We start from the raw sequence: 25134 nt of genomic DNA, 5'->3' as shown, positions 1-25134 counted from the left end.
AATAGAATAATGTTAGATCCCTACCTTAAACTAAGCCATAAGATCAGTGGCAGTCTGATTACTTAAATGTAATCAAAGAACAACCCTATCTCCCACACTCCAAAAAAGAACTTGAAGAAAATAGAGGTAGATCAAAATGATCATCTTTTTTGCTTATTTTTAATTGACATAATATAATTGTACTTATTTATGTGGTACAATGTGATGTTTTGATACATAAATACATTGGAATGATTAAATCAGGCTATTTAGCATATCCATCATCTGAAACATTTACTATTTCCTTGTGGTAAGGACATTCAAAACCTTCTCTTTTAGTTTTTTGAAATATACAATACAATATTCTTAGCTCTAGTTATCCTACTGTGCAAAAGAACACCAGAAATTATTTCTCTTATCTAATTACAATTTTGTACTGTTAACCAATCCCCCTCAACACACACATAGCCTCCCCAGCCTCTGGTAGCCGTTACTCTACTCGGTACAGTATTTCTATGAGATCAACTTTTTTAGTTTCCACAAGTGAGTGAGATCATGCTCTATCTGTCTTTCTGTGCCTGGTTTATTTTACCTAACATTGTGTCCTCTAGGTTCATCTACATTGCACAAATGACAGGATTTCAATTTTTTATGGCTGTATAGTATTCCATTGTGTATATATACCACATTTTCTTTATCCATTCATCTGTTGATGGACACTTAGGTTGATTCCATATCTTGGCTATTGTGACTAGTCCTGCAAAGAACCTGGGGCTACAGATAGCTCTTCAACATACTGATTGCATTTCCTTTGGAAACATACCCAGTAATGGGATTGCTGGATTACACAGTAGTTCTATCTTTAATATTCTGAGGAACCTCTATACCATTTCCATAATGGCTATACTAGTTTGTATTCCCACCAATGGTGTGTAAGAGTTCCCATCTCTCTATACCCATGTAAGACTTGTTATTTTTGTCTTTTTGATAATAACCATTCTAATTGGGCTGAGGTGTTACCTCGTTGTGGTTTTTATTTTTTATTTTATTTTTTTTATTTTATTATTATTATACTTTAAGTTTTAGGGTACATGTGCACAATGTGCAGGTTAGTTATATATGTATACATGTGCCATTCTGGTGTGCTGCACCCATTAACTTGTCATTTAGCATTAGGTATATTTCCTCCCCCCTCCCCACACCCCGCAACAGTCCCCAGAGTGTGATGTTCCCCTTCCTGTGTCCATGTGATCTCATTGTTCAATTCCCACCTATGAGTGAGAATATGCGGTGTTTGGATTTTTGTTCTTGCAATAGTTTACTGAGAATGATGATTTCCAATTTCATCCATGTCCCTACAAAGGACATGAACTCATCATTTTTTATGGCTGCATAATATTCCATGGTGTATATGTGCCACATTTTCTTAATCCAGTCTATCATTGTTGGACATTTGGGTTGGTTCCAAGTCTTTGCTATTGTGAATAGTGCCACAATAAACATATGTGTGCATGTGTCTTTATAGCAGCATGATTTATAGTCCTTTGGGTATATACCCAGTAATGGGATGGCTGGGTCAAATGGTATTTCTAGTTCCAGATCCCTGAGGAATTGCCACACTGACTTCCACAATGGTTGAACTAGTTTACAGTCCCACCAACAGTGTAAAAGTGTTCCTATTTCTCTACATCCTCTCCAGCACCTGTTGTTTCCTGACTTTTTAATGATCGCCATTCTAACTGGTGTTAGAATTCTCATTGTGGTTTTGATTTGCATTTCTCTGATGGCCAGTGATGGTGAGCATTTTTTCATGTGTTTTTTGGCTGTATAAATGTCTTCTTTTGAGAAGTGTCTGTTCATGTCCTTCGCTCACTTTTTGATGGGGTTGTTTGTTTTTTTCTTGTAAATGTGTTTGAGTTCATCGTAGATTCTGGATATTAGCCCTTTGTCAGATGAGTAGGTTGCGAAAATTTTCTCCCATTTTGTAGGTTGCCTGTTCACTCTGATGGTAGTTTCTTTTGCTGTGCAGAAGCTCTTTAGTTTAATTAGATCCCATTTGTCAATTTTGTCTTTTGTTGCCATTGCTTTTGGTGTTTTAGACATGAAGTCCTTGCCCATGCCTATGTCCTGAATGGTAATGCCTAGGTTTTCTTCTAGGGTTTTTATGGTTTTAGGTCTAACGTTTAAGTCTTTAATCCATCTTGAATTGATTTTTGTATAAGGTGTAAGGAAGGGATCCAATTTCAGCTTTCTACATATGGCTAGCCAGTTTTCCCAGCACCATTTATTAAATGGGGAATCCTTTCCCCATTGCTTGTTTTTCTCAGGTTTGTCAAAGATCAGATAGTTGTCAGAAATAACGCCTCATTGTGGTTTTGATTTGCATTTCCCTGATTAGTGATGTTGAGCATTTACAAAAATATTCTTTGCCATTTGTATGTATTCTTTGGAGAAATGTCTATTCAGGTCTTTTAATTATTTAAAAAATCATATTATTTTTTTTTTTGCTGTTGAGATTTTGAGTTCCTTATGTATTCAGGATATTAACCCCTTGTTAGATCCATAGTGTACCAATATTTCTCTAATTCTTTAGATTATTCCTCTACTTGTTTATTGTTTCCTTTGTTGTGCAGAAACTTTTTAGTTGGATATAATCTCACTTGTCCGTTTTTGCTTTTGTTGTCAGTGATTTTGAGTTCTTATCCAAAAAATTATTGCCCAGATCAATGTCATGACACATTTTCTCATATTTTCTTCTAGAAGTTTTATAGTTTTGAGGCTTACATGTAAGTCCTTAATCCATTTTGAGTTGATTTTTCTAAATGGTAAAAGATAGGGGTTTAGTTTTATTCTTCTGCATATGGATATCCAGTTTTCCCACCACCATTTAAAGACTGTCCTTTCCCCAATGTGTGTTCCTAGCACCTTTGTTAAAAATCAATTGGCTGTGTGTGAATTTATTTCTGTGTTCTATATTCTGCTCCATTGGTTTACATATCTATTCTTATGTCAATGCCATTCTGTTTTGTTTACATTTCTGCTTTGTAGTATATTTTGATGTCTGGTAGTGTGATGTCTCTCACTTTGCTCTTTTCACTCAAAATTGCTTTGGCTATTTGGGATCTTTTGTGTTTACATACAAATTTTAGGATTTTTTTTTCCTATTTTGGTAAAGAATGTTCTTAGCATTTTCATAGGTATTGCATTAAATCTGTAGATTGCTTTGGGTAGTATGAACATTTTAACAATATTAATTATCCCAATCCATAAACAAAGACCATCTTCCCATTTATTCATAGTATCTTCAATTCATTTTATCAAAGTTTTATAACTTTTATTGAAAAGATCTTTCTTCTCTTTGGTTAAATTTACTACTAGACATTTTATTTTTTTGGTAGCAATTGTAAAGGGGATTGCTTTTTTAGTTCTTTTTCAGGTTCACTATTAGGGTATAGAAATACTACTGATTTTGTGTGTCGACTGGTATCTTGTAACTCTACTGAATTCACTTATTAGTTCTAACAGTTTTTTTGGTGGAAGCTTTAGGTTTTTTTCTGTATATAAGATCATGTCATCTTCAACCAGGGAAAATTTGATTTCCTCCTCCCCAATTTGAATGCCCTCTATTTCTCTCTTGCTTTGGCTAGGCCTTCCAGTACTATGTTGAATAAAAGTGGTGAAAGGGGGCATCCTTGTCTTGTTCCAGATTTCAGAGGAAAAGTGTTCAACCTTTTCCCATTCAGTATGATGTTAGCTGTGGTTTGTCATATCCAGCTTTTATTGTGTTGAGATAGGTTCCTTCTACACCTAATTTGTTGAGAGTTTTTATTATGAAGTAATGTTGAATTTTATTAAATGTCTTTTCTGCATCTATTCAATTGATCATTTGGTTTTTGTCTTTGATTCTGTTAATGTGATGTATTTTGTTTACTAATTTGCATGTGCTGAACCATCCTTGTATCCTTATGGATGAATTCCACTTGATCATTGCAAAAAACTTTTTTATGTACTGTTAAATTTAGTTTGCAAGTATTTTGTTGAGAACTATTTGCATCTATGTTCATCAGCGATATTGGCCTGAGGTTTTCTTTTTTTTGTTGTTGTGTCCTTGTCTGTTATTTTTTTTTGTTTTTATCAGGGTGAAGCTGGCCTCATGGAGGGAGTTTGGAAAAATTTCCTCCTCTTTAATTTTTTGGAATCATTTGCAACAGCTAAGTATTCAAGTACTGGGCTTTTCTTTGATGAGCGTCTTTCATTACTGATTTAATATTGTTGCTATTGGTCTGTTCAGATTTTCTATTTTTTTATGATTTGATTTTGGTAGGTTGTGTGTGTCCAAGAATATATCCATTTCTTCTAGGTTTTCTAATTTGTTGCCATATAGTTGTTTCTCATAGTCTCTTGTGATCCTTTGTATTTCTGTGGAATCAATTGTAATATGTTCTTTTTTTAATCTCTGGTTTTATTTATTTGAATCTTCTCTCTTTTTTTTCTTAGTCTAGTGAAAGGTTTGTTAATTTTGTTTATTTTTCAGCAAAACTCGGTTTTGTTGATATTTTGTATTTTTAGTCTCTAATTTATGCTTTGATCTTTATTATTTCTTTTTTTCTACCACTTTTGAGTTTAGTGTTTTTCTTGTTTTTCTAATTTTTTTTTTGATGCAACATTAGGTTGTTTGAGATCTTTCTAATTTTTTTGATTCAGGAATTTTGATTCAGAAATTCACTGAAAACTTCCCTTTTATAACTGCCTTTTTTCAGTATCCTGTAGGTTTTGGTATATTTCATTTCTATTTTTTATCTCAAGAAATATTTAAATTTCCTTTTAAATTTCTTTATTGACTCATTTGTCATCCAGGAGTATGTTGTTTAATTTCCATATATTTGTGTAGTTTCCAAAGTTCTTCCTGTTATTGACTCCTAGTTTTATTCCATATGGGTCGGAAAAGATGCTTTACATGATTTTGATTTTTAAAAATTTGTTGAGACTTTTTTATGGCCTAATATATTATCTGTCCTGGAGAAAGTAGCATGTGCTGATAAGAAGAATGTGTATTGTGCAGCTCTTTAGTGGAATACTCAGTGAATGTCTCAGGTCCATTTAATCTACAGTGAAGTTTAAATCTGATGCTTCCTTGTTGATTTTCTGTCTAAATGATCTGGCCATTGCTGAAAGTAAGGCGTTGAAAACCCCTACTGTTTTTGTATGGCAGTCTATCTCTCCCTTTAGATCTAATAATATTTGCTTTATATGTTTGGTGCTGTCTTGTTGAGTGCATATATATTTATAATTGTTATATCCTCCTGCTGAATTGACTCCTTTATCATTATATAATGATCTTCTCCATCTTTGTCTCCTTTTGTAGTTCTTTTTACTTAATGTCTGTTATATCAGATGTAAGTATAGCTACGTCTGCTGTCTTTTGGTTTCCATTTATATGGAAAATCATTTTCCATTCCTTTACTTTCAGTCTATGTGTGTCCTTAGAGATGAAGTAAGCCTCCTGTAGACTGCATATAGTCAGGTCTTGATTTTTTTAAAATTCAGCCGCTCTATATCTCTTTTTTTTTTTTTTTTTTCCCCTGGAGATGGAGTCTTGCTCTTGTCGCCCAGGCTGGAATGCAGTGGCAAAATCTCAGCTCACTACAACCTCTGCCTCCCGGATTCAAGCGATTTTCATGCCTCAGCTTCCTGAGTAACTGGGTTTACAGGCATCTGCCACCACGGCTGGCTAATTTTTGTACTTTTAGTAGAACAGGGTTTCGCCATGTTGGCCAGGCTGGTCTCGAACTCCTGACCTCAGGAGATCCACCCGCCTTGGCCTCCCAAAGTGCTGGGATTACAGGTGTGAGTGACCATGCCCGGCCCAGTCTATATCTTTTAATTGTAGAATTTCATCCATTTATATTCAAGGTTATTATTAATAGGTAAGGGTTTGCTTCTGCTATTCTGTTAATTATTTCCTGGTTACTTTATAAGTCTTTTTGTTTATTTCTTTCTCTCTTGTTTATCTTTGTAATTTGGTGATTTTCTATAGTGAAAAGTTTTGATTTTTTTCTCGTTCTCATTTATGTATCTGCTATAGTTTTTTTTTTTTCTTTATGGTTACTCTGGGAATCACAAAACAATCTTAGAGCCATAAAAGTCTACTTTAAGCTGATAACAACTTAACTTTGGTCACATATAAATATACCAGACTTTTATTCTTCTACCAATTTGTAATTTTGTTGCCTTAGTTAATATATCTTTATGTTGTGTATTTCTTAACTTATTGTACCTATGGTTATCATTAACCATACTGACTTTTAACCTTCATTCTAGAGATTTGAAGATTATATACTGCTATTACAGTAATGAAGTATTCTGAATTTGATTATGAGTTTACCTCTACCAGTGAGTTTTTATAGTTTCATATGATTTCACGGTACTAATTAACATCCTTATGGTTCCGGTTGAAGCACTTAAGGATTTCTTTTAAGGCTGGTTTAAGGTTGATGAATTCTCTCAGCTTTTGCTTGTTTGGAACTTTATTTCTCCCTCATTTCTGAAGAATATCTTTGCTGGGCATAATATTCTTGAATGGCAAGTTCTTTCTTTCAGCATTTTGAATATATTATCCCATTCTCTCTTGGCATGCAAGGTTTCTACTGAGAAATCTGTTAATAGTCAAGTGGGACATCCATTATATGTGACTTAGGGCCATCTTCTAAGTAATGAGTCAAAGAAAAGTCTTGAAGACAGCATTGAGGTATGTATTAGTCCATTCTCACATTGCTATAAAGAAATGCCAGAGACTGTGAAATTTATAAAGAAAAGAGGTTTAATTGGCTCACGGTTCCATGAGGTGTACAAGAAGCATGACTGGGGAAGCCTCAGGAGACTTACAATCATGGCAGAAGGCAAAAAGGAAGCAGGTGCATCTTACATGACTGGAGCAAGATGAAGAGAGCGAGAAGGGGAGGTGCCGCACGCTTTTAAACAACCAGATCTTGCGAGAATTCTATCATGAGACAGCATTAAGGGGATGATGCTAAGTCATTAGAAACCATCCCCATGATCCAATCACTTTCCACCAGGTCTAACAATTTGACATGAGATTTGGGCGGGGACACAGAGCCAAATCATATCAAGATATTTGAATATATACATGAAAATTAAAAATGTCTGCAGATCCATTATAAAAAAAACAACATAAAACCTAAAGACATTTAGCCAACTAGGTATTTTTATTCACATCAACTATAATGGTTTTTATATTCTGAATATGTAAGTAGCATTTATAACTCAATAAACAAATTATGCACATTCCAACATAATACAGACAAAATACATGAATTGAAAATTCACAAAGAACCTCAGTGGCCAAAACACTTATGGAAATGGGCTCACCATTGCTAGCAATCAAAGATATGAGAAATAAAGCATCAATGAGATTATATGGCTTTCATATACTTGACTAGGCATGACATTGATATTCCTAAATTATCTTTATTATATTTAATGTGAACATTCACATGGTAAAATAATATTTTTAAATGTGGTAGGTTGGTGCTGCTAGTCTGCCAATATGTATTTCAGTTTCAGCAGTGCTTCTATCTCTCTCAACATAGTAATGTATATGAAATTATTTGAATGTTTCATCATATTTTGTCCTTTTCATTTCACAAAAGTGAGTAGAAATGAAAAAAATAAGAATTACTTATGTTACTGATAAGCAATATATGAATCAAATTTGAAACAATGGAGACACAGATGGAAATCATTTGTCATTTTGAGAGCCTTCATAGTATTTTAGTCTCAATTAGTTGTTTGTCACACTTAGGCCAAACTGTCAAATTCAGTGTACCCTTAATAAAGACATTATATTATAAAGAAAAGACATACTATTTAGGAAGATGTCCAAAAAAGTGACTTACAATTAGTAATTGTGCAATTAGTAAATATTTTTTGCTTTTTTTGGAATCTGTAATGATGTGTTACTCTATTATTTAATTTTTGCACACATGAATTTTATATTAATTGGCAGAAGTACATGTGAAAGTAATGCAGAGGATACATTTCAACTCATTAAATGTGTAGATATAAAATAACTTACTCTATTTTATTTAAGTTTTGAGCAAACTGATCCTTTAACACATTTTCGGTGGTGGTGTAACTTGGTATGGTCTTTTTGTGGGCAGCATGGCAGGATGTATCGGAGGTATTAAATATTAATTTCTTATGTTTGACTAATTCTATTCTAGGTATTTATGTCAAGGAAATAACTGTGTTGTGTAAAATTATTTATATACCAGGATATCCTTCTTGTTGTAGCATTACTTTGATAGTGAAAAATTGGAAACTACTTAATTGTGAACAAGGGGAGATTAAGTAGATTATGATGCAGACATGTGATTAGATATTACATCTTAAAATAATATTTTAATAGCATAAAAAATATTAGTTATGCACTGATTTAAAAAATAAGGTTACAACTTTCTAAACTCTTGCAAAATGCAAGTTGTACATATAAAGACAGCAGGGATATAAAACAAAATGATAATAGGCATTTTTCTAAGTACTGTAGTTGCAAGAGATTTTCATTGTTTTCCTTTGGGCTTTTCTGTAATTTCACATTTCCAAAATTTTCATGAGAAACATGTCCTGTTTTTGTAATCAGAGAAATATTATTTTTAAAATTGTGCTTGAAATAAGTTAGGCAAAAAATGGAGGTTACTTCTTTTAAGGAGAGTTAGAAAGTTTTCAATAGTATCCAACATTACATCTATGACTGAGAAATGGTGTATTATTTCCTTTTCCCTCTGTTTTAGGACTGCTTACGTACTATTTTTGGTTTTTAATATCTAACATTCAAAGGTTATTATTACTATTGTCCAGAGTGTTACCACCTGATAAATATTGACAGTGGAATGACCCTTTGAGAACATGTCTATCATAAATAAAACATTTTTGAGATCCCTTTTCAAAGGCTAGACCAGATAACTACATTCCTTAAAATCATAAATCAGTATTCAATATAATGGATACATACTTTAAAATAATATTTTTAATGTCATGAGAATAAATTATAAATGAGAGCCACTTGTACTATTGTCCTCTGAGCCTAAATCTATCACATGATACTGTAAGATGAGGAGACAGGAAAAACTAGAAAGCAGAATAAAATGTTATGAAAAATGATTTAATGAGAGGAGGTTTACTTGGGTATGCTTGCAAATTTAGGAATTCTACAGAAATGTGTTTAGTAAGAAAAATTCTAAAGAAACCATAATATCTTTGGGGGGAATGAGCATGTAGGAAGGAAGAACAGGATGGAATAAAATCAGCAATTAGAGAACAGAAAATAACTTGTAGATATTGAAAATACAATCCTGAAAAAATTTAATGTGAGGTTTAGAATGTGGGTTTGTTGCAATTTCCCAGAAGGCAGGATTAAAGGCAAATAAATTTATATGATTTATCAAGGATACCTCACATCTAGAGTTCTAGAAGGTAAGAAGAAAGAGAAAAGATATAAAGGTGTTTTCCAAGAAATAAGTTGATAAAATTCCCCATAAAGAAAGAACCTGAGTCTGTAGGCTGAAAGGACTTGCTACCCAGCCCAAAGCCAAGAGAATCACACGAAATCCTACACTCAGCTATTGCAAAGTTGTCCCTCCCAGACTAATGAGACCAAATTAAAAGCAGAGAGAGTGAGATCACCCATGCATAACAAAACAATAACAAAATAGGTAAGGAAAAATAGAAATGGAAGGATAATTTTTAACAGCAACTGGAAGCAGAAAGCAACATTGGGAAAAAATGCTTTTAAAATTCTGAGAATTTTTAACCTGGGATTTTCCACCCAGTCAAATTATTAATCAAGTTAAGGTAATGGCAATCCCTTAATTCAGTGGCCGAAGACAATAGAAGTTTATTTCTCACTCAATAGTTCAATACAATGGAGAGTTGGTGAGGGCTCTGAGCCACATAATCACTCAGGGACCCAGACTGATGGAGTCCCCAACTGCAATACATGCCTTCCTTTCCAGCAAAAGGGAAAAAAGATGGACAGGCCCACGTGCTTCTTATAGGCTCCAGCCCAGAGCATCACCATCAATTCTGCTCATATCTCTGTTGTGAAGAACTGGTTGTGTGGATTTACCTGAATATGAAGGCCTGAGGCATAAAGTCCTTGGCTGGGTAGACACAGGTAGCAACAACTCCAAACTGTAGAAAGAGAAGTACAAATTTTGGTGAACAGTTATCAAAATTTTGTCTTTCATTCAGTTATTTTGAGGAAGTCACCAATAGATGTGTCCCATCAAGATAAGAAAGAAATTAAGAAAGATGAAGCTGCAGGATCGTGGAAACAGGAGAGTGAGCCATCACAGGAGGGTAAAGAGATGTTTCTGAGCAACAAAAAAAGCTATGCAGCAGGCCTAAAAGAGCAGCCAGTTTAGATTAGAGAGGGAGTGATAGAGGACTTAACAGAGAGAGATGTTCCCAGGAAAAAAAAATACAGAACTAGGAGACTATCTGTTGCATTTGGCCATGTGGAAAATAGTATTATGAAACATTTTCATACATGTTGTGTTTCAACGTTTGAGAAAAACTAGGCGTAGGTATTTAGAAGCCTAAGTAAATTAAAAATTTGGACAATTAATTAATTAATTTATTTTTGAGACAGAGTCTTGCTCTGTAGCCCAGGCTGGAGTGCAGTGGTTCAATCTCAGCTCCCTGCAACCTCCACCTCCTGGGTTTAAGCTATTCTCGTGTCTCAGCCTCCCAAGTAGCTGGGTTTACAGGTGTCGGCCACCGCACCCAGCTAATTTTTGTATTTTTAATAGAGACAGGGTTTTACTATGTTGGCCAGGCTGATTTCAAACAATTAGCCTAACGTGATCCGCCCGGCTCAGCCTACCAAAGTACTGGGATTACAGACATGAGTAACCATGCCCGGCAGAATTTAGACAACTATTAACTTCAAGAAATAATAGAAGTACTATGGGAATGGAAACATAATCATACTATACTATGTGGCTAAGTAACTTACGCTAGTTATGAAGTTATAATGAAGTATAGTCATGTGCCACATAGTGACGTTTTGGTCAATGATCGACAACTTATATGACAATGGTCCCATAAGAATATAATACCATATTTTTATTGTACCCTTTCTATGTTTAGAGTTACAAATACTTCCCATTGTGTTACAATTGCCTGCAGTGTTTAGTACAGTAACATGGTGTATAGGTTTGCAGCCTAGGACACTAGGCTGTAGCCTATAGCCTAGGTATGTAGCAGGCTATACCATCTAGGTTGGTGTAAGTGCACTCTATGATGTTTACATAATGATGAAATAGTCTAGTGATATATTTCTCAGAATGCATTCCTGTCATTAAGTGATGCATGACTGTACCTCTAAATAGGAATTTAACTAAAAACAGATGTATAAATATACTGGGAGGATGGTGGAGATTAAAATTAAATGCTAATGTATGAGGGGTTTCATGTAAGAAAAATTTTAAAAAATCTGCCATAATTGGAAGTCAGTAGATGATGTATAGTCAACCCTCAGTTGGAGACTGGTTCTAAAACTTCCACGGATACCCAAATCTGCAGATGCTCAAATCCCTGATATAAAATGGTACAGTATTTGCATATAGCCAATGCACATCCTCCTGTATACTTTAGTTCATCTTTAGATTACTTATAATACCTAATGCATTGTAATAGTATGCAAAAAGTTGTTATACTGTATTGTTTAGGGAATATTGCCAAGAAAAAAGTCTGCACAAGTTCAGTATAGATGCATTTTTCTTCAAATATTTTAGATACATGGTTGGTTGAATCTGCAGATATGGAATCCAAAGATATGGAGGGCCAACTATTTAGACATATTAGTTAGAAACATAGAGGAAAATACCAGACAAAATGGCTTAAACATTTTCGAAAACTTTTGCCCTTTAGGAAACAGGAGCTGGTGTGGGGAGGTGGGGCAGTGGATGTTGGTTTTTATGATAAGTATAACATTTTAGAACTATTTGGCTTTTGCAAACAAATGTATGAATTACTTTGACAAATTAAAAATCAATGACTTTTAGGAGATAATATAGCTATTAAGGGGCAAAATTAAAACTGCAGAAGAAAATGAAGATTGTCAACTTTTATTTCTAGGCTTATATCCAGAAACAAGAGAATGAGTCAGCCCCAAGTTCTTTTAACATCAGAACTTCTGTGATCCTATTCTGTGCTCTTCAAATTTTATAAATTTGTCACTTTACATGTCATCTTAAAATCATTTGGTACATTGGATGATGTAAAAGCAACTTGACTCCAATTATTCTTCTAGATTATTTTGTTTCTCTTAGTAATGAAGGTAAGACTTGTGGGCTCTTCCAGAACTGGTATGGTATTAAACAGGCCACCCAGTCAACAAAATTGAAAAGGAAGTGTCTTTCTGTACCTCAGGTTTCAAGGAACAGTCTTTGCTCTGGCTAGATATACTACACTGGTAGACTGTCAACCCTTTAGTGTGTGGTTTTGATTCTAAAATGCGGGGACACAGGAGGAATAACTCAATATGATTATCAGCCATTGTCACAGAAAATGTTAACAAGGATTCAAGGGCAGACTTAGAGTGTGTTTATTTGTGGGGTTGGTTTGGAAGATAGAGTGGCATGAAAGGAATTTGAAAGCACTGATTGAGGGCAGACACTGGAGAGAGGATTTAGGGCGCAAACTGCAGCCTCTGCTGTTTTGCTTACACTTGGAGTAAGGGCTCTTTGAAATTTCTTTATATTTGTGATAATGGGAAAGTTAAAAGAAAAGCATATCATTGTTTTTGACTTAGATTCTTATTTACAACAGAGAAAGTGATCGCTGGTTTGCAAATCATTTATTCTCAAGGAAAGGAGTTCCTATTGTTAATGAGCTCCTGAGCTGAAGCTGAATACTCTGGGATTTTACCCAGGGCTCTTTGCCTTGATGAGAGGGAAGCTTAGGTGTACTTCAGACCCTAAGGCAAGTTTTCTAGGGAAGACTGCTTTGGTGTATTATAAAAGCATCTAACTTATCACTTCTCTTTTTCCTCAGCCCTTCACGGTAGAATTCAGAACGAATTGGAACTTTGTTCCATTTCATGCCAGATAAATTACTGAAAGTTAACATGCATCTAAAGGCAAAATGATTAGAGAACTATTTGCCACAGCCCAAATCTCCCAGCTTCCTCAGAAAATAAAAAATATGGCAAGATATTGTAATAGTTGAACAGTCCAGATTTGCTCTGGTCAGCCGCAGATGGAAATGAGTGATTGCAGACGTGACTTCTCCTGGCCATTGAGAACTAAAGAAAGCAAATAATTATGGGACATTATTTAATTAATTATCATCTTAACATATTTCTTTGTGATCTGAGTTGTGTCCAATCTTGCCCATCCCTCTCTCCCAATTTGATTTCAAAGAGACAACATTCTACCAAACTCAATTTTCTTCCAACTCTAATTTTTACACACATGACAAGCAAAGAAGGGGATACATTTATTTGTGGGAAAATGAAAATATTTATGTGATTATGTATTTCATTTTTACTTTGGCTGGTGACATAACATTTCTAGAGTCTTTTTCTTTTTTTTTTTTTAGATGCGTTCTGGCTGTGTTGCCTAGGCTGGAGTGCAGTGGCGTAATCTTGGCTCACTGCAACGTCTGCCTCCCAGGTTCTAGTGATTCTCCTGCCTTAGCCTCCCGAGTAGTTGGGACTACAGGCGTGGGCCACCATGCCAAACTAATTTTTGTATTTTTAGTAGAGACGGGGTTTCACAGTTTTGGCCAGGCTGGTCCTGAAGTTCTGACCTCAAATGATCCACCTGCCTTGGCCTCCCAAAGTGCTGGGATTATAGGTGTGAGCCACTGTGCCCGGCCTAGAGTCTTGTAAGATTACTTTGTTTCAAAAGAATCAATACTATGTTCCAGTCTCCATTCATTTTCTTAATAACCACAGGCTACTCTACCTTACCACTCAGATCTCTCCTCCTAGTGCTGATGGCATTTGCTACCTAATGATCTGTGACTTTAGAGCTGAGCTAAAAATCATGGGGTGAAGGGCACTTGTCATATTTACTACAAAAGTATGTGCCATTTTGTAAAGCTCATTTTTCCTTAATTGTTAGAGTTTCTCTGTTTCAAAATAAAAAATGACATTGACATTGTATATGCTTACAGTAGTACATAAGCATTAAGTTTACATATAACTTTCTTCAATGACTTTTACTATTCTATTAATAATAGCCAAAGCTTTGTAGCATATTGCCATGCTTTCTATAAAATATATATATACATATATATATATACACGTATATACATGCATAAACACACACACACACACACACACACACACACACACACGTATATGTAAATGGTGAGAGTAGGGGTGGTAGGGGAGTAAGTGGGCTTTAGCCCCGAAAGAACCGATGCAAAGATGTTTTAAATTGGCTGTGTGTGGAAGTTATTCTACTTTCTCCTTTTTATTCTCCTTCTCACATCTACCCCAGCTATATGTATGTATGTACATGTAAACACACACACACATTCACACACACACAGACACATACACACACTCATTTCCATTCCCTTCATTGTATCTTATACCACAAATGTCTAATAAAATGCAAAGACAGAAACAATGCTGGGAAGCTGTAGGGTAAAGGACTAGAATTGCAACTATCCCTTCTTTTCTCATCAGGAAATTGTCAACATTTGCTTTTCTGAGGCAAATTCATTTTGGCTTTCCTTAAATAAAGTAAAAAGGAATGGTTATCTACAATCTTTTTCATACTGGACTCAAAGTTTCTCTCTTTTTTGGCCTTATCTGGTGTCAACTGCTCTTTTGAATGGATGTATATTTTCTTTTTATTTTTCTTCTTTTTTTTATTATACTTTAAGTTTTAGGGTACATGTGCACATTGTGCAGGTTAGTTACATATGTATACATGTGCCATGCTGGTGTGCTGCACCCACTAACTCGTCATCTAGCATTAGGTATATCTCCCAATGCTATCCCTCCCCCCTCCCCCCACCCCACCACAGTCCCCAGAGTGTGATATTCCCCTTCCTGTGTCCATGTGATGCCATTGTTCAATTCCCACCTATGAGTGAGTATATGCGGTGTTTGGTTTTTTGTTCTTGCAATAGTTTACTGAGAATGATGATTTCCAATTTCATCCATGTCCCTACAAAGGACATGAACTCATCATTTTTTATGGCTGCATAATATTCCATGGTGTATATGTGCCACATTTTCTTAATCCAGTCTATCATTGTTGGACATTTGGGTTGGTTCCAAGTCTTTGCTATTGTGAATACTGCCTCAATAAACATATGTGTGCATGTGTCTTTATAGCAGCATGATTTATAGTCCTTTGGGTATATACCCAGTAATGGGATGGCTGGGTCAAATGGTATTTCTAGTTCTAGATCCCTGAGGAATTGCCACACTGACTTCCACAATGGTTGAACTAGTTTACAGTCCCACCAACAGTGTAAAAGTGTTCCTATTTCTCCACATCCTCTCCAGCACCTGTTGTTTCCTGACTTTTTAATGATCGCCATTCTAACTGGTGTGAGATGGTATCTCATTGTGGTTTTGATTTGCATTTCTCTGATGGCCAGTGATGATGAGCATTTTTTCATGTGTTTTTTGGCTGCATAAATGTCTTCTTTTGAGAAGTGTCTGTTCATGTCCTTCGCCCACTTTTTGATGGGGTTGTTTGTTTTTTTTTTGTAAATGTGTTTGAGTTCATTGTAGATTCTGGATATTAGCCCTTTGTCAGATGAGTAGGTTGCGAAAATTTTCTCCCATTTTGTAGGTTGCCTGTTCACTCTGATGGTAGTTTCTTTTGCTGTGCAGAAGCTCTTTAGTTTAATTAGATCCCATTTGTCAATTTTGTCTTTTGTTGCCATTGCTTTTGGTGTTTTGGACATGAAGTCCTTGCCCATGCCTATGTCCTGAATGGTAATGCCTAGGTTTTCTTCTAGGGTTTTTATGGTTTTAGGTCTAACGTTTAAGTCCTTAATCCATCTTGAATTGATTTTTGTATAAGGTGTAAGGAAGGGATCCAGTTTCAGCTTTCTACATATGGCTAGCCAGTTTTCCCAGCACCATTTATTAAATAGGGAATCCTTTCCCCATTGCTTGTTTTTCTCAGGTTTGTCAAAGATCAGATAGTTGTAGATATGCGGTGTTATTTCTGAGTGCTCTGTTCTGTTCCATTGATCTATATCTCTGTTTTGGTACCAGTACCATGCTGTTTTGGTTACTGTAGCCTTGTAGTATAGTTTGAAGTCAGGTAGTGTGATGTCTGCAGCTTTGTTCTTTTGGCTTAGGATTGACTTGGCGATGCGGGCTCTTTTTTGGTTCCATATGAACTTTAAAGTAGTTTTTTCCAATTCTGTGAAGAAAGTCATTGGTAGCTTGATGGGGATGGCATTGAATCTGTAAATTACCTTGGGCAGTATGGCCATTTTCACGATATTGATTCTTCCTACCCATGAGCATGGAATGTTCTTCCGTTTGTTTGTATCCTCTTTTATTTCCTTGAGCAGTGGTTTGTAGTTCTCCTTGAAGAGGTCCTTCACATCCCTTGTAAGTTGGATTCCTAGGTATTTTATTCTCTTTGAAGCAATTGTGAATGGGAGTTCACTCATGATTTGGCTCTCTGTTTGTCTGTTATTGGTGTATAAGAATGCTTGTGATTTTTGTACATTGATTTTGTATCCTGAGATTTTGCTGAAGTTGCTTATCAGCTTAAGGAGATTTTGGGCTGAGACAATGGGGTTTTCTAGATATACAATCATGTCGTCTGCAAACAGGGACAATTTGACTTCCTCTTTTCCTAATTGAATACCCTTTATTTCCTTCTCCTACCTAATTGCCCTGGCCAGAACTTCCAACACTATGTTGAATAGGAGTGGTGAGAGAGGGCATCCCTGTCTTGTGCCAGTTTTCAAAGGGAATGCTTCCAGTTTTTGCCCATTCAGTATGATATTGGCTGTGGGTTTGTCATAGATAGCTCTTATTATTTTGAAATATGTCCCATCAATACCGAATTTATTGAGAATTTTTAGCATGAAGGGTTGTTGAATTTTGTCAAAGGCTTTTTCTGCATCTATTGAGATAATCATGTGGTTTTTGTCTTTGGCTCTGTTTATATGCTGGATTACATTTATTGATTTGCATATATTGAACCAGCCTTGCATCCCAGGGATGAAGCCCACTTGATCATGGTGGATAAGCTTTTTGATGTGCTGCTGGATTCGTTTTGCCAGTATTTTATTGAGGATTTTTGCATCAATGTTCATCAAGGATATTGGTCTAAAATTCTCTTTTTTGGTTGTGTCTCTGCCTGGCTTTGGTAACAGAATGATGCTGGCCTCATAAAATGAGTTAGGGAGGATTCCCTCTTTTTCTATTGATTGGAATAGTTTCAGAAGGAATGGTACCAGTTCCTCCTTGTACCTCTGGTAGAATTTGGCTGTGAATCCATCTGGTCCTGGACTCTTTTTGGTTGGTAAACTATTGATTATTGCCACAATTTCACCTCCCATTATTGGTCTATTCAGAGATTCAACTTCTTCCTGGTTTAGTCTTGGGAGAGTGTATGTATCGAGGAATTTATCCATTTCTTCTAGATTTTCTAGTTTATTTGCGTAGAGGTGTTTGTAGTAGTCTCTGATGGTAGTTTGTATTTCTGTGGGATGGGTGGTGATATCCCCTTTATCATTTTTTATTGTGTCTATTTGATTCTTCTCTCTTTTTTTCTTTATTAGTCTTGCTAGCAGTCTACCAATTTTGTTGATCCTTTCAAAAAACCAGCTCCTGGATTCATTAATTTTTTGAAGGGTTTTTTGTGTCTCTATTTCCTTCAGTTCTGCTCTGATTTTAGTTATTTCTTGCCTTCTGCTAGCTTTAGAATGTGTTTGCTCTTGCTTTTCTAGTTCTTTTAATTGTGATGTTAGGGTGTCAATTTTGGATCTTTCCTGCTTTCTCTTGTGGGCATTTAGTGCTATAAATTTCCCTCTACACACTGCTTTGAATGCGTCCCAGAGATTCTGGTATGTGGTGTCTTTGTTCTCATTGGTTTCAAAGAACATCTTTATTTCTGCCTTCATTTCGTTATGTACCCAGTAGTCATTCAGGAGCAGGTTGTTCAGTTTCCATGTAGTTGAGCGGTTTTGAGTGAGATTCTTAATCCTGAGTTCTAGTTTGATTGCACTGTGGTCTGAAAGATAGTTTGTTATAATCTCTGTTCTTTTACATTTGCTGAGGAGAGCTTTACTTCCAAGTATGTGGTCAATTTTGGAATAGGTGTGGTGTGGTGCTGAAAAAAATGTATATTCTGTTGATTTGGGGTGGAGAGTTCTGTAGTTGTCTATTAGGTCTGCTTGGTGCAGAGCTGAGTTCAATTCCTGGGTATCCTTGTTGACTTTCTGTCTCGTTGATCTGTCTAATGTTGACAGTGGGGTGTTAAAGTCTCCCATTATTAATGTGTGGGAGTCTAAGTCTCTTTGTAGGTCACTCAGGACTTGCTTTATGAATCTGGGTGCTCCTGTATTGGGTACATATATATTTAGGATAGTTAGCTCTTTTTGTTGAATTGATCCCTTTACCATTATGTAATGGCCTTCTTTGTCTCTTTTGATCTTTGTTGGTTTAAAGTCTGTTTTATCAGAGACTAGGATTGCAACCCCTGCCTTTTTTTGTTTTCCATTTGCTTGGTAGATCTTCCTCCATCCTTTTATTTTGAGCCTATGTGTGTCTCTGCCCGTGAGATAGGTTTCCTGAATACAGCACACTGATGGGTCTTGACTCTTTATCCAATTTGCCAATCTGTGTCTTTTAATTGGAGCATTTAGTCCATTTACATTTAAAGTTAATATTGTTATGTGTGAATTTGATCCTGTCATTATGATGTTAGCTGGTTATTTTGCTCGTTAGTTGATGCAGTTTCTTCCTAGTCTCGATGGTCTTTACATTTTGGCATGATTTTGCAGCGGCTGGTACCGGTTGTTCCTTTCCATGTTTAGCGCTTCCTTCAGGAGTTCTTTTAGGGCAGGCCTGGTGGTGACAAAATCTCTCAGCATTTGCTTGTCTGTAAAGGATTTTATTTCTCCTTCACTTATGAATCTTAGTTTGGCTGGATATGAAATTCTGGGTTGAAAATTCTTTTCTTTAAGAATGTTGAATATTGGCCCCCACTCTCTTCTGGCTTGTAGGGTTTCTGCCGAGAGATCCGCTGTTAGTCTGATGGGCTTCCCTTTGAGGGTAACCCGACCTTTCTCTCTGGCTGCCCTTAACATTTTTTCCTTCATTTCGACTTTGGTGAATCTGACAGTTATGTGTCTTGGAGTTGCTCTTCTCGAGGAGTATCTTTGTGGCGTTCTCTGTATTTCCTGAATCTGAATGTTGGCCTGCCTTGCTAGATTGGGGAAGTTCTCCTGGATAATATCCTGCAGAGTGTTCTCCAACTTGGTTCCATTCTCCCCATCACTTTCAGGTACACCAATCAGACGTAGATTTGGTCTTTTCACATAGTCCCATATTTCTTGGAGGCTTTGCTCATTTCTTTTTATTCTTTTTTCTCTAAATTTCCCTTCTCGCTTCATTTCATTCATTTCATCTTCCATTGCTGATACCCTTTCTTCCAGTTGATCACATCGGCTCCTGAGGCTTCTGCATTCTTCACGTAGTTCTTGAGCCTTGGTTTTCAGCTCCATCAGCTCCTTTAAACACTTCTCTGTATTGGTTATTCTAGTTATACATTCTTCTAAATTTTTTTCAAAGTTTTCAACTTCTTTGCCTTTGGTTTGAATGTCCTCCCGTAGCTCAGAGTAATTTGATCGTCTGAAGCCTTCTTCTCTCAGCTTGTCAAAGTCATTCTCCATCCAGCTTTGTTCCGTTGCTGGTGAGGAACTGCGTTCCTTTGGAGGAGGAGAGGAGCTCTGCATTTTAGAGTTTCCAGTTTTTCTGTTCTGTTTTTTCCCCATCTTTGTGGTTTTATCTACTTTTGGTCTTTGATGATGGTGATGTACAGATGGGTTTTTGGTGTGGATGTCCTTTCTGTTTGTTAGTTTTCCTTCTAACATAGAGGACCCTCAGCTGCAGGTCTGTTGGAATACCCTGCCGTGTGAGGTGTCAGTGTGCCCCTGCTGGGGGGTGCCTCCCAGTTAGGCTGCTCGGGGGTCAGGGGTCAGGGACCCACTTGAGGAGGCAGTCTGCCCGTTCTCAGATCTCCAGCTGCATGCTGGGAGAACCACTGCTCTCTTCAAAGCTGTCAGACAGGGACATTTAAGTCTGCAGAGGTTACTGCTGTCTTTTTGTTTGTCTGTGCCCTGCCCCCAGAGGTGGAGCCTACAGAGGCAGGCAGGCCTCCTTGAGCTGTGGTGGGCTCCACCCAGTTCGAGCTTCCAGGCTGCTTTGTTTACCTAAGCAAGCCTGGGCAATGGCGGGTGCCCCTCCCCCAGCCTCGCTGCTGCCTTGCAGTTTGATCTCAGACTGCTGTGCTAGCAATCAGCGAGACTCCGTGGGCGTAGGACCCTCCCAGCCAGGTGTGGGATATAATCTTGTGGTGCACCATTTTTTAAGCCGGTCCGAAAAGTGCAATATTCGGGTGGGAGTGACCCGATTTTCCATGTGCCCTCTGTCACCCCTTTCTTTGACTCGGAAAGGGAACTCCCTGGCCCCTTGCGCTTCCCAAGTGAGGCAATGCCTCGCCCTGCTTCGGCTCGCGCACGGTGCACGCACCCACTGACCTGCGCCCACTGTCTGACACTCCCTAGTGAGATGAACCCGGTACCTCAGATGGAAATGCAGAAATCACCCGTCTTCTGGGTCGCTCACGCTGGGAGCTGTAGACCGGAGCTGTTCCTATTCGGCCATCTTGGCTCCCCTCCGGATGTATATTTTCTTAGTCCACAAATACAGACAAAGCTTCTACTTTTCTGATTTGCCCAAGGCAACATGGTCTGAGTCTCAGAGCAGTGCTGTAATGCTTTTGTATGAATAACAGTATGCTTGGGTGAGTCACTCTACCTCCTACAGACCCATGTGCAAGCACATGCACATGTAGTTTGAAAGCACTGGTCAAAGGCTGAGGGTCAGATCTGACCCAGTCTGAGCTCACTGTGACCTTGCAAACAATATCAGTGCCTGGGGTTACTTTAAATTTCAGCATCTTAGCGTCCAACTATTCTTTTTCACTACTATGAGCAATTTAATGAGGGTTAGTTTTTACAGACTTAGATATTGAAGAGCCTTTTATATTTATGAATGAGCTATTTAAAATATACTCCATCTTTAAAGCAAGCAATTATCTTTTTCTCCTAAAGATAATTTCCAAATTCAGAGATTTTAATATACATTTTAACTTTTTTGAACACTATTTAATGAGTACCATTTTGGAAACAAATACTTATTTCCAAAAGGAAAAATAATAAAGCAAAGCAAGAAGTGTTTTTTTTGAAACAGGGTGTCACTCTGTCACCCAGGCTGGAGTGCAGTGGTGCGATCTTGGCTCACTGCAAACTCTGCCTCTAGGGTTCAAGAGATTCTCCCACCTCAACCTCCCAAGTAGCTGGAACTACAGGCATGTGCCACCATGTCTGGCTAATTTTTGTATTTTTTGGTAGAGACAAGGTTTCACCATGTTGGCCAGGCTGGTCTCAAACTCTGACCTCAAGGGTTCCACCCGCCTCAGCCTCCTAAAATGCTTTGAAGTTATTTTTTATTCATCCACTTGTTAAGAGTTTCTACCACTGAGTATGTACACCCTATATTAATAGAGCATTTAAACTCAATTTCAAGTGGGATATCCTTAAAATATATATTTGGTTTGAGTGGCTGTTAACACATTTCTAACAGTAATTAAATGTTTTCATTAAAAATTATGCACCACTGTACTTTTTCCTCAATACAAATTGGAACTGTAATATGTTTTTCATTTACTAATTATAGATAACCATTTTTGAACATCTGTTGTGTGTAAGATATTGGATTATTAATTTAGATTCCAAAAAGAAACTATCACTATCTCTGCATAGTGGTAATGTAGCAAAATAAACAAGGCTGTAGCTCCCAATGGGCTGATTATTTGGTTTAACACTGCGAGTCCAGAGAAGTGACAACCAATTTTGTTCGGGCTTTAAAAACAGAAATAATTTAGATAAAAAGAGAGAGGGTACCGCAGAAACTGATAACAGAGTAAGAAAAAGTATGGGGGCAAGAAATAGGAAGAAGCAAATGTGACTTAAGGGTATAGTCTAATTTGAGGATTTTATTATTCATCTATTGCTGTGTAACAATATTAACAGAAACAACACACATTTATTCTCTCTTATTTTGTGGGTCAGAATTTGGCCTTGAGGAGCTCTGCGTGTCTCGCAAGGCTGCGATCAGTGTTGGCCAGGGCTGGAGGTCTCATCTGAGGCTTGACTGTAGAAGGATCTGATTCTAAGTCAGGGGGTTGTTGGCAACATTTTGTTTCTTGTGCACTGTCAGCCTGAGGGTCTCAGCTCTTTGCTGACTGTTGGCCAGCCCTCAGCTATTTCCATGTTGGCCATCTTCCAAATGTGGCTGCATGCTTCCTAATGCCAGGAAACAAGGTAGAGTCTTTTAGCAAGAAGGACACTATAATTTTATGTGATATAATCATGTACATTCCATCACTGTTGCTGTATTCTTTTGGTAAGATGTGAGTCACAAATCCTACTTACACACATGGGATTGCCTACCTTAATGTCCAAGGAGAAGAAAACTCAGGAAAGAAATAAGTGTCATTCTTTTAATGAAGAAATGGGTGAATATAAATGATTATCTTCATGTTGAGCGAAAAAGCATCCAATTTCTTATCTCTTACTGATTCCTAACTTGAACTTTCCACCATACTATATGTTAGTGATAGTATTCTGAATGTATAAATAGTTACTGTCCAACTCTATGTAGGCAGTTTGATAAGTGGTGCTTCAGTATTTCAGGCCCTTCCTTTGCATTGTATGTAGTATAGCCATGGGGAGTTAGACTATATGGGGAGGAAGTATGGTGAGGTTTCCAGAGAGACTCTGGTGACTAGAGAAGAGAAGGGCCACTGGGAAAAGATTCACTACACATGAATCCTGAACAGGGTTTGATAGACATGAAGGCCATATCTGAGGAGAGAATAAAGAACAACTTGCAGAAATTACAGCAGGACAGTGGGAGAGCCAAGAGTCAAAACAAAGCAGCTTGACCCCAGAGGCTGCACTCTTAACCATCCTCTCCTAGTGCCTCTGAACTGGTTCTTGGTGAAAGTGATCTTAGAAGTCATTCAGTCCTATCTCATCAGCTTTCATATTAGAAAGCTAAGGAGCCTTCATAGCCTATGTGTCAGCCCCAAATCATGAAACAAGTCCTCTGACATAGTCAGAACCAAAAGTTAAAACAAAACAAAGCTCAAAGTACTGCTTTAAGAGTTTCACGGACTCCTTTCCTTATAATTCTTATTTTGTAGGAGGACAGCCCTCAGAATAGCATTGATTATCTCTTAAGTTTTCTAAAGAAGAGGCATCCCACATTGTTGAAAGGGACTGACTATCTGAAGAACTCCTTCAGGCTTCTACTACTTAGGGGATTAGGATATAAAGAAATTCCGTTAAAGAAATGTTTTAAGAGCAGCAGCAATATGTCTCTGGAAAAAAAGGATATATATGAAGCAGATTATTTCTCAATATATTTTTTCCTTCATTCTTCCACCTCTTCAGTATAAATCCAACATAAGCCTTCTGAAAGCAACTTGGAAGGAGGATCGGTGAGAAGCTTAAATACGTTTAATCAAGCATTCTTGTCTGCTAACTTCAAAAGGGAGCCAAACATGGAGGACATTTGTGGAGATTCAGCATGCAGGAGGCTTAAGATATCTTATGACAGTTTGCTTGAGTGTGTAGCATTCCTAAATGTTAGGAGTATCTAATGAAGTCTGAAGAAGCCTGGAGGAAAAATGGATGCTACCTTAATTTAATCACCAACAAGGTTCAGGTGTGTTAATAGTAATCAAATCAGGTTGATAGCTGTTCTGAAAACTCTGTGTGAAGTGTATGCTATTCAAAACAATGATCTGATTATGTTTTATTGATCTGATCAATCAATTGCTGTCTCATTAATGTTTATTTCCACTAGATCAACAGATTGAAAGATTGGTTGCAAAGACCAGATACAGAACAGAAGATGAAAACTGCACAAATAGAACACACATTTGAATTGCAGTGCAGGTGTTTGCTATTTAATGTTCCTTTCAGTCTGAATCTGTTTGTATCTACCTGCCTACAGATGCTTTAACCATTAACACCAGTGCCCTCAAGGGTCTTTACATGTGCACAGTCTGAAGCCCATAAAGGTAAAGTGACTTGTCTTGGCCACGAGTCCAGGTGACTGTAAAGCCAGGGCTTGGTCCTAGGTCCCTAAGAGTATGTTTACTGTGTCAAGGCTCTCAGCTCCCAACACAATTCATGTACCATTGACCTCAAAAAGAAAAAAAATGTTAAAATGAGATGATCACATGTACCTGAAAAGCAGAATGGTCTTCAATGAATTATATTTCACATCCAGACATTGCCCTTTAGCTTTAAAGTTCTGCAACTTCTCAAAAATTTAGGCGGCTCTCTTGGTGCTATAAAACTTAATTATTGACTAAAAAATATTTGAAATCCTTAGACGAAAGGTGCTGCATTAAATATTAAAATATTCTTATTACAGAGTAGCTGCATGGAGCTGGTATGGGTTTGAATTGGATGTGCGTCACCTAGTTAGCTGGCAGCCTGGTTATTTTAGGAGATTACATATATCTGTTGCAATAGCAGGGACAGAGGGAGTGTTAGCTCTGGCACTGTCTTCTTAGAATAAGCCCAGGGATAAGCCCAATCCAGACCTCTTCTCCCACTAATTGTTAAGTTTTACTTTTTTCCCCTTTTATTAAATATCTTTGTGATTCAAGGTGATAATATCAGATCAGAGCACATTACAGTTAACAAAACATTCAGATTGATTATCTCTTTTGAAAATCTCAAAGTCTGTGAGGTAGACAGGTGGGTATCACCACCTTCTCTTTATGCATAAGTACAGCCAAGTATTGTAAATACTACATCAGAAAA

The 25134-nt window shown here is 37.0% G+C and overlaps 2 long non-coding RNA genes across 2 annotated transcripts in view; one reads left to right on the top strand and one right to left on the bottom strand.

Moving 5' to 3' along the window:
- Window positions 1-25134, top strand: part of LOC124901379 (uncharacterized) — a 68150-nt gene that overhangs the window by 35395 nt on the left and 7621 nt on the right. The window lies entirely within an intron of this gene.
- On the bottom strand, window positions 6782-10188 carry LOC124901380 (uncharacterized). Its single transcript, XR_007059714.1, has 2 exons — window positions 10124-10188; window positions 6782-8622 (listed from the first exon to the last, which is right to left on the bottom strand). It is a non-coding gene; the product is annotated as an uncharacterized LOC124901380 (long non-coding RNA).

This window comes from Homo sapiens, chromosome 6, assembly GCF_000001405.40.
Source record: "Homo sapiens chromosome 6, GRCh38.p14 Primary Assembly".
In the NCBI taxonomy this organism is placed as follows: Eukaryota; Metazoa; Chordata; class Mammalia; order Primates; family Hominidae; genus Homo; species Homo sapiens.
This window is presented reverse-complemented; position numbering and strand designations above follow the sequence as displayed.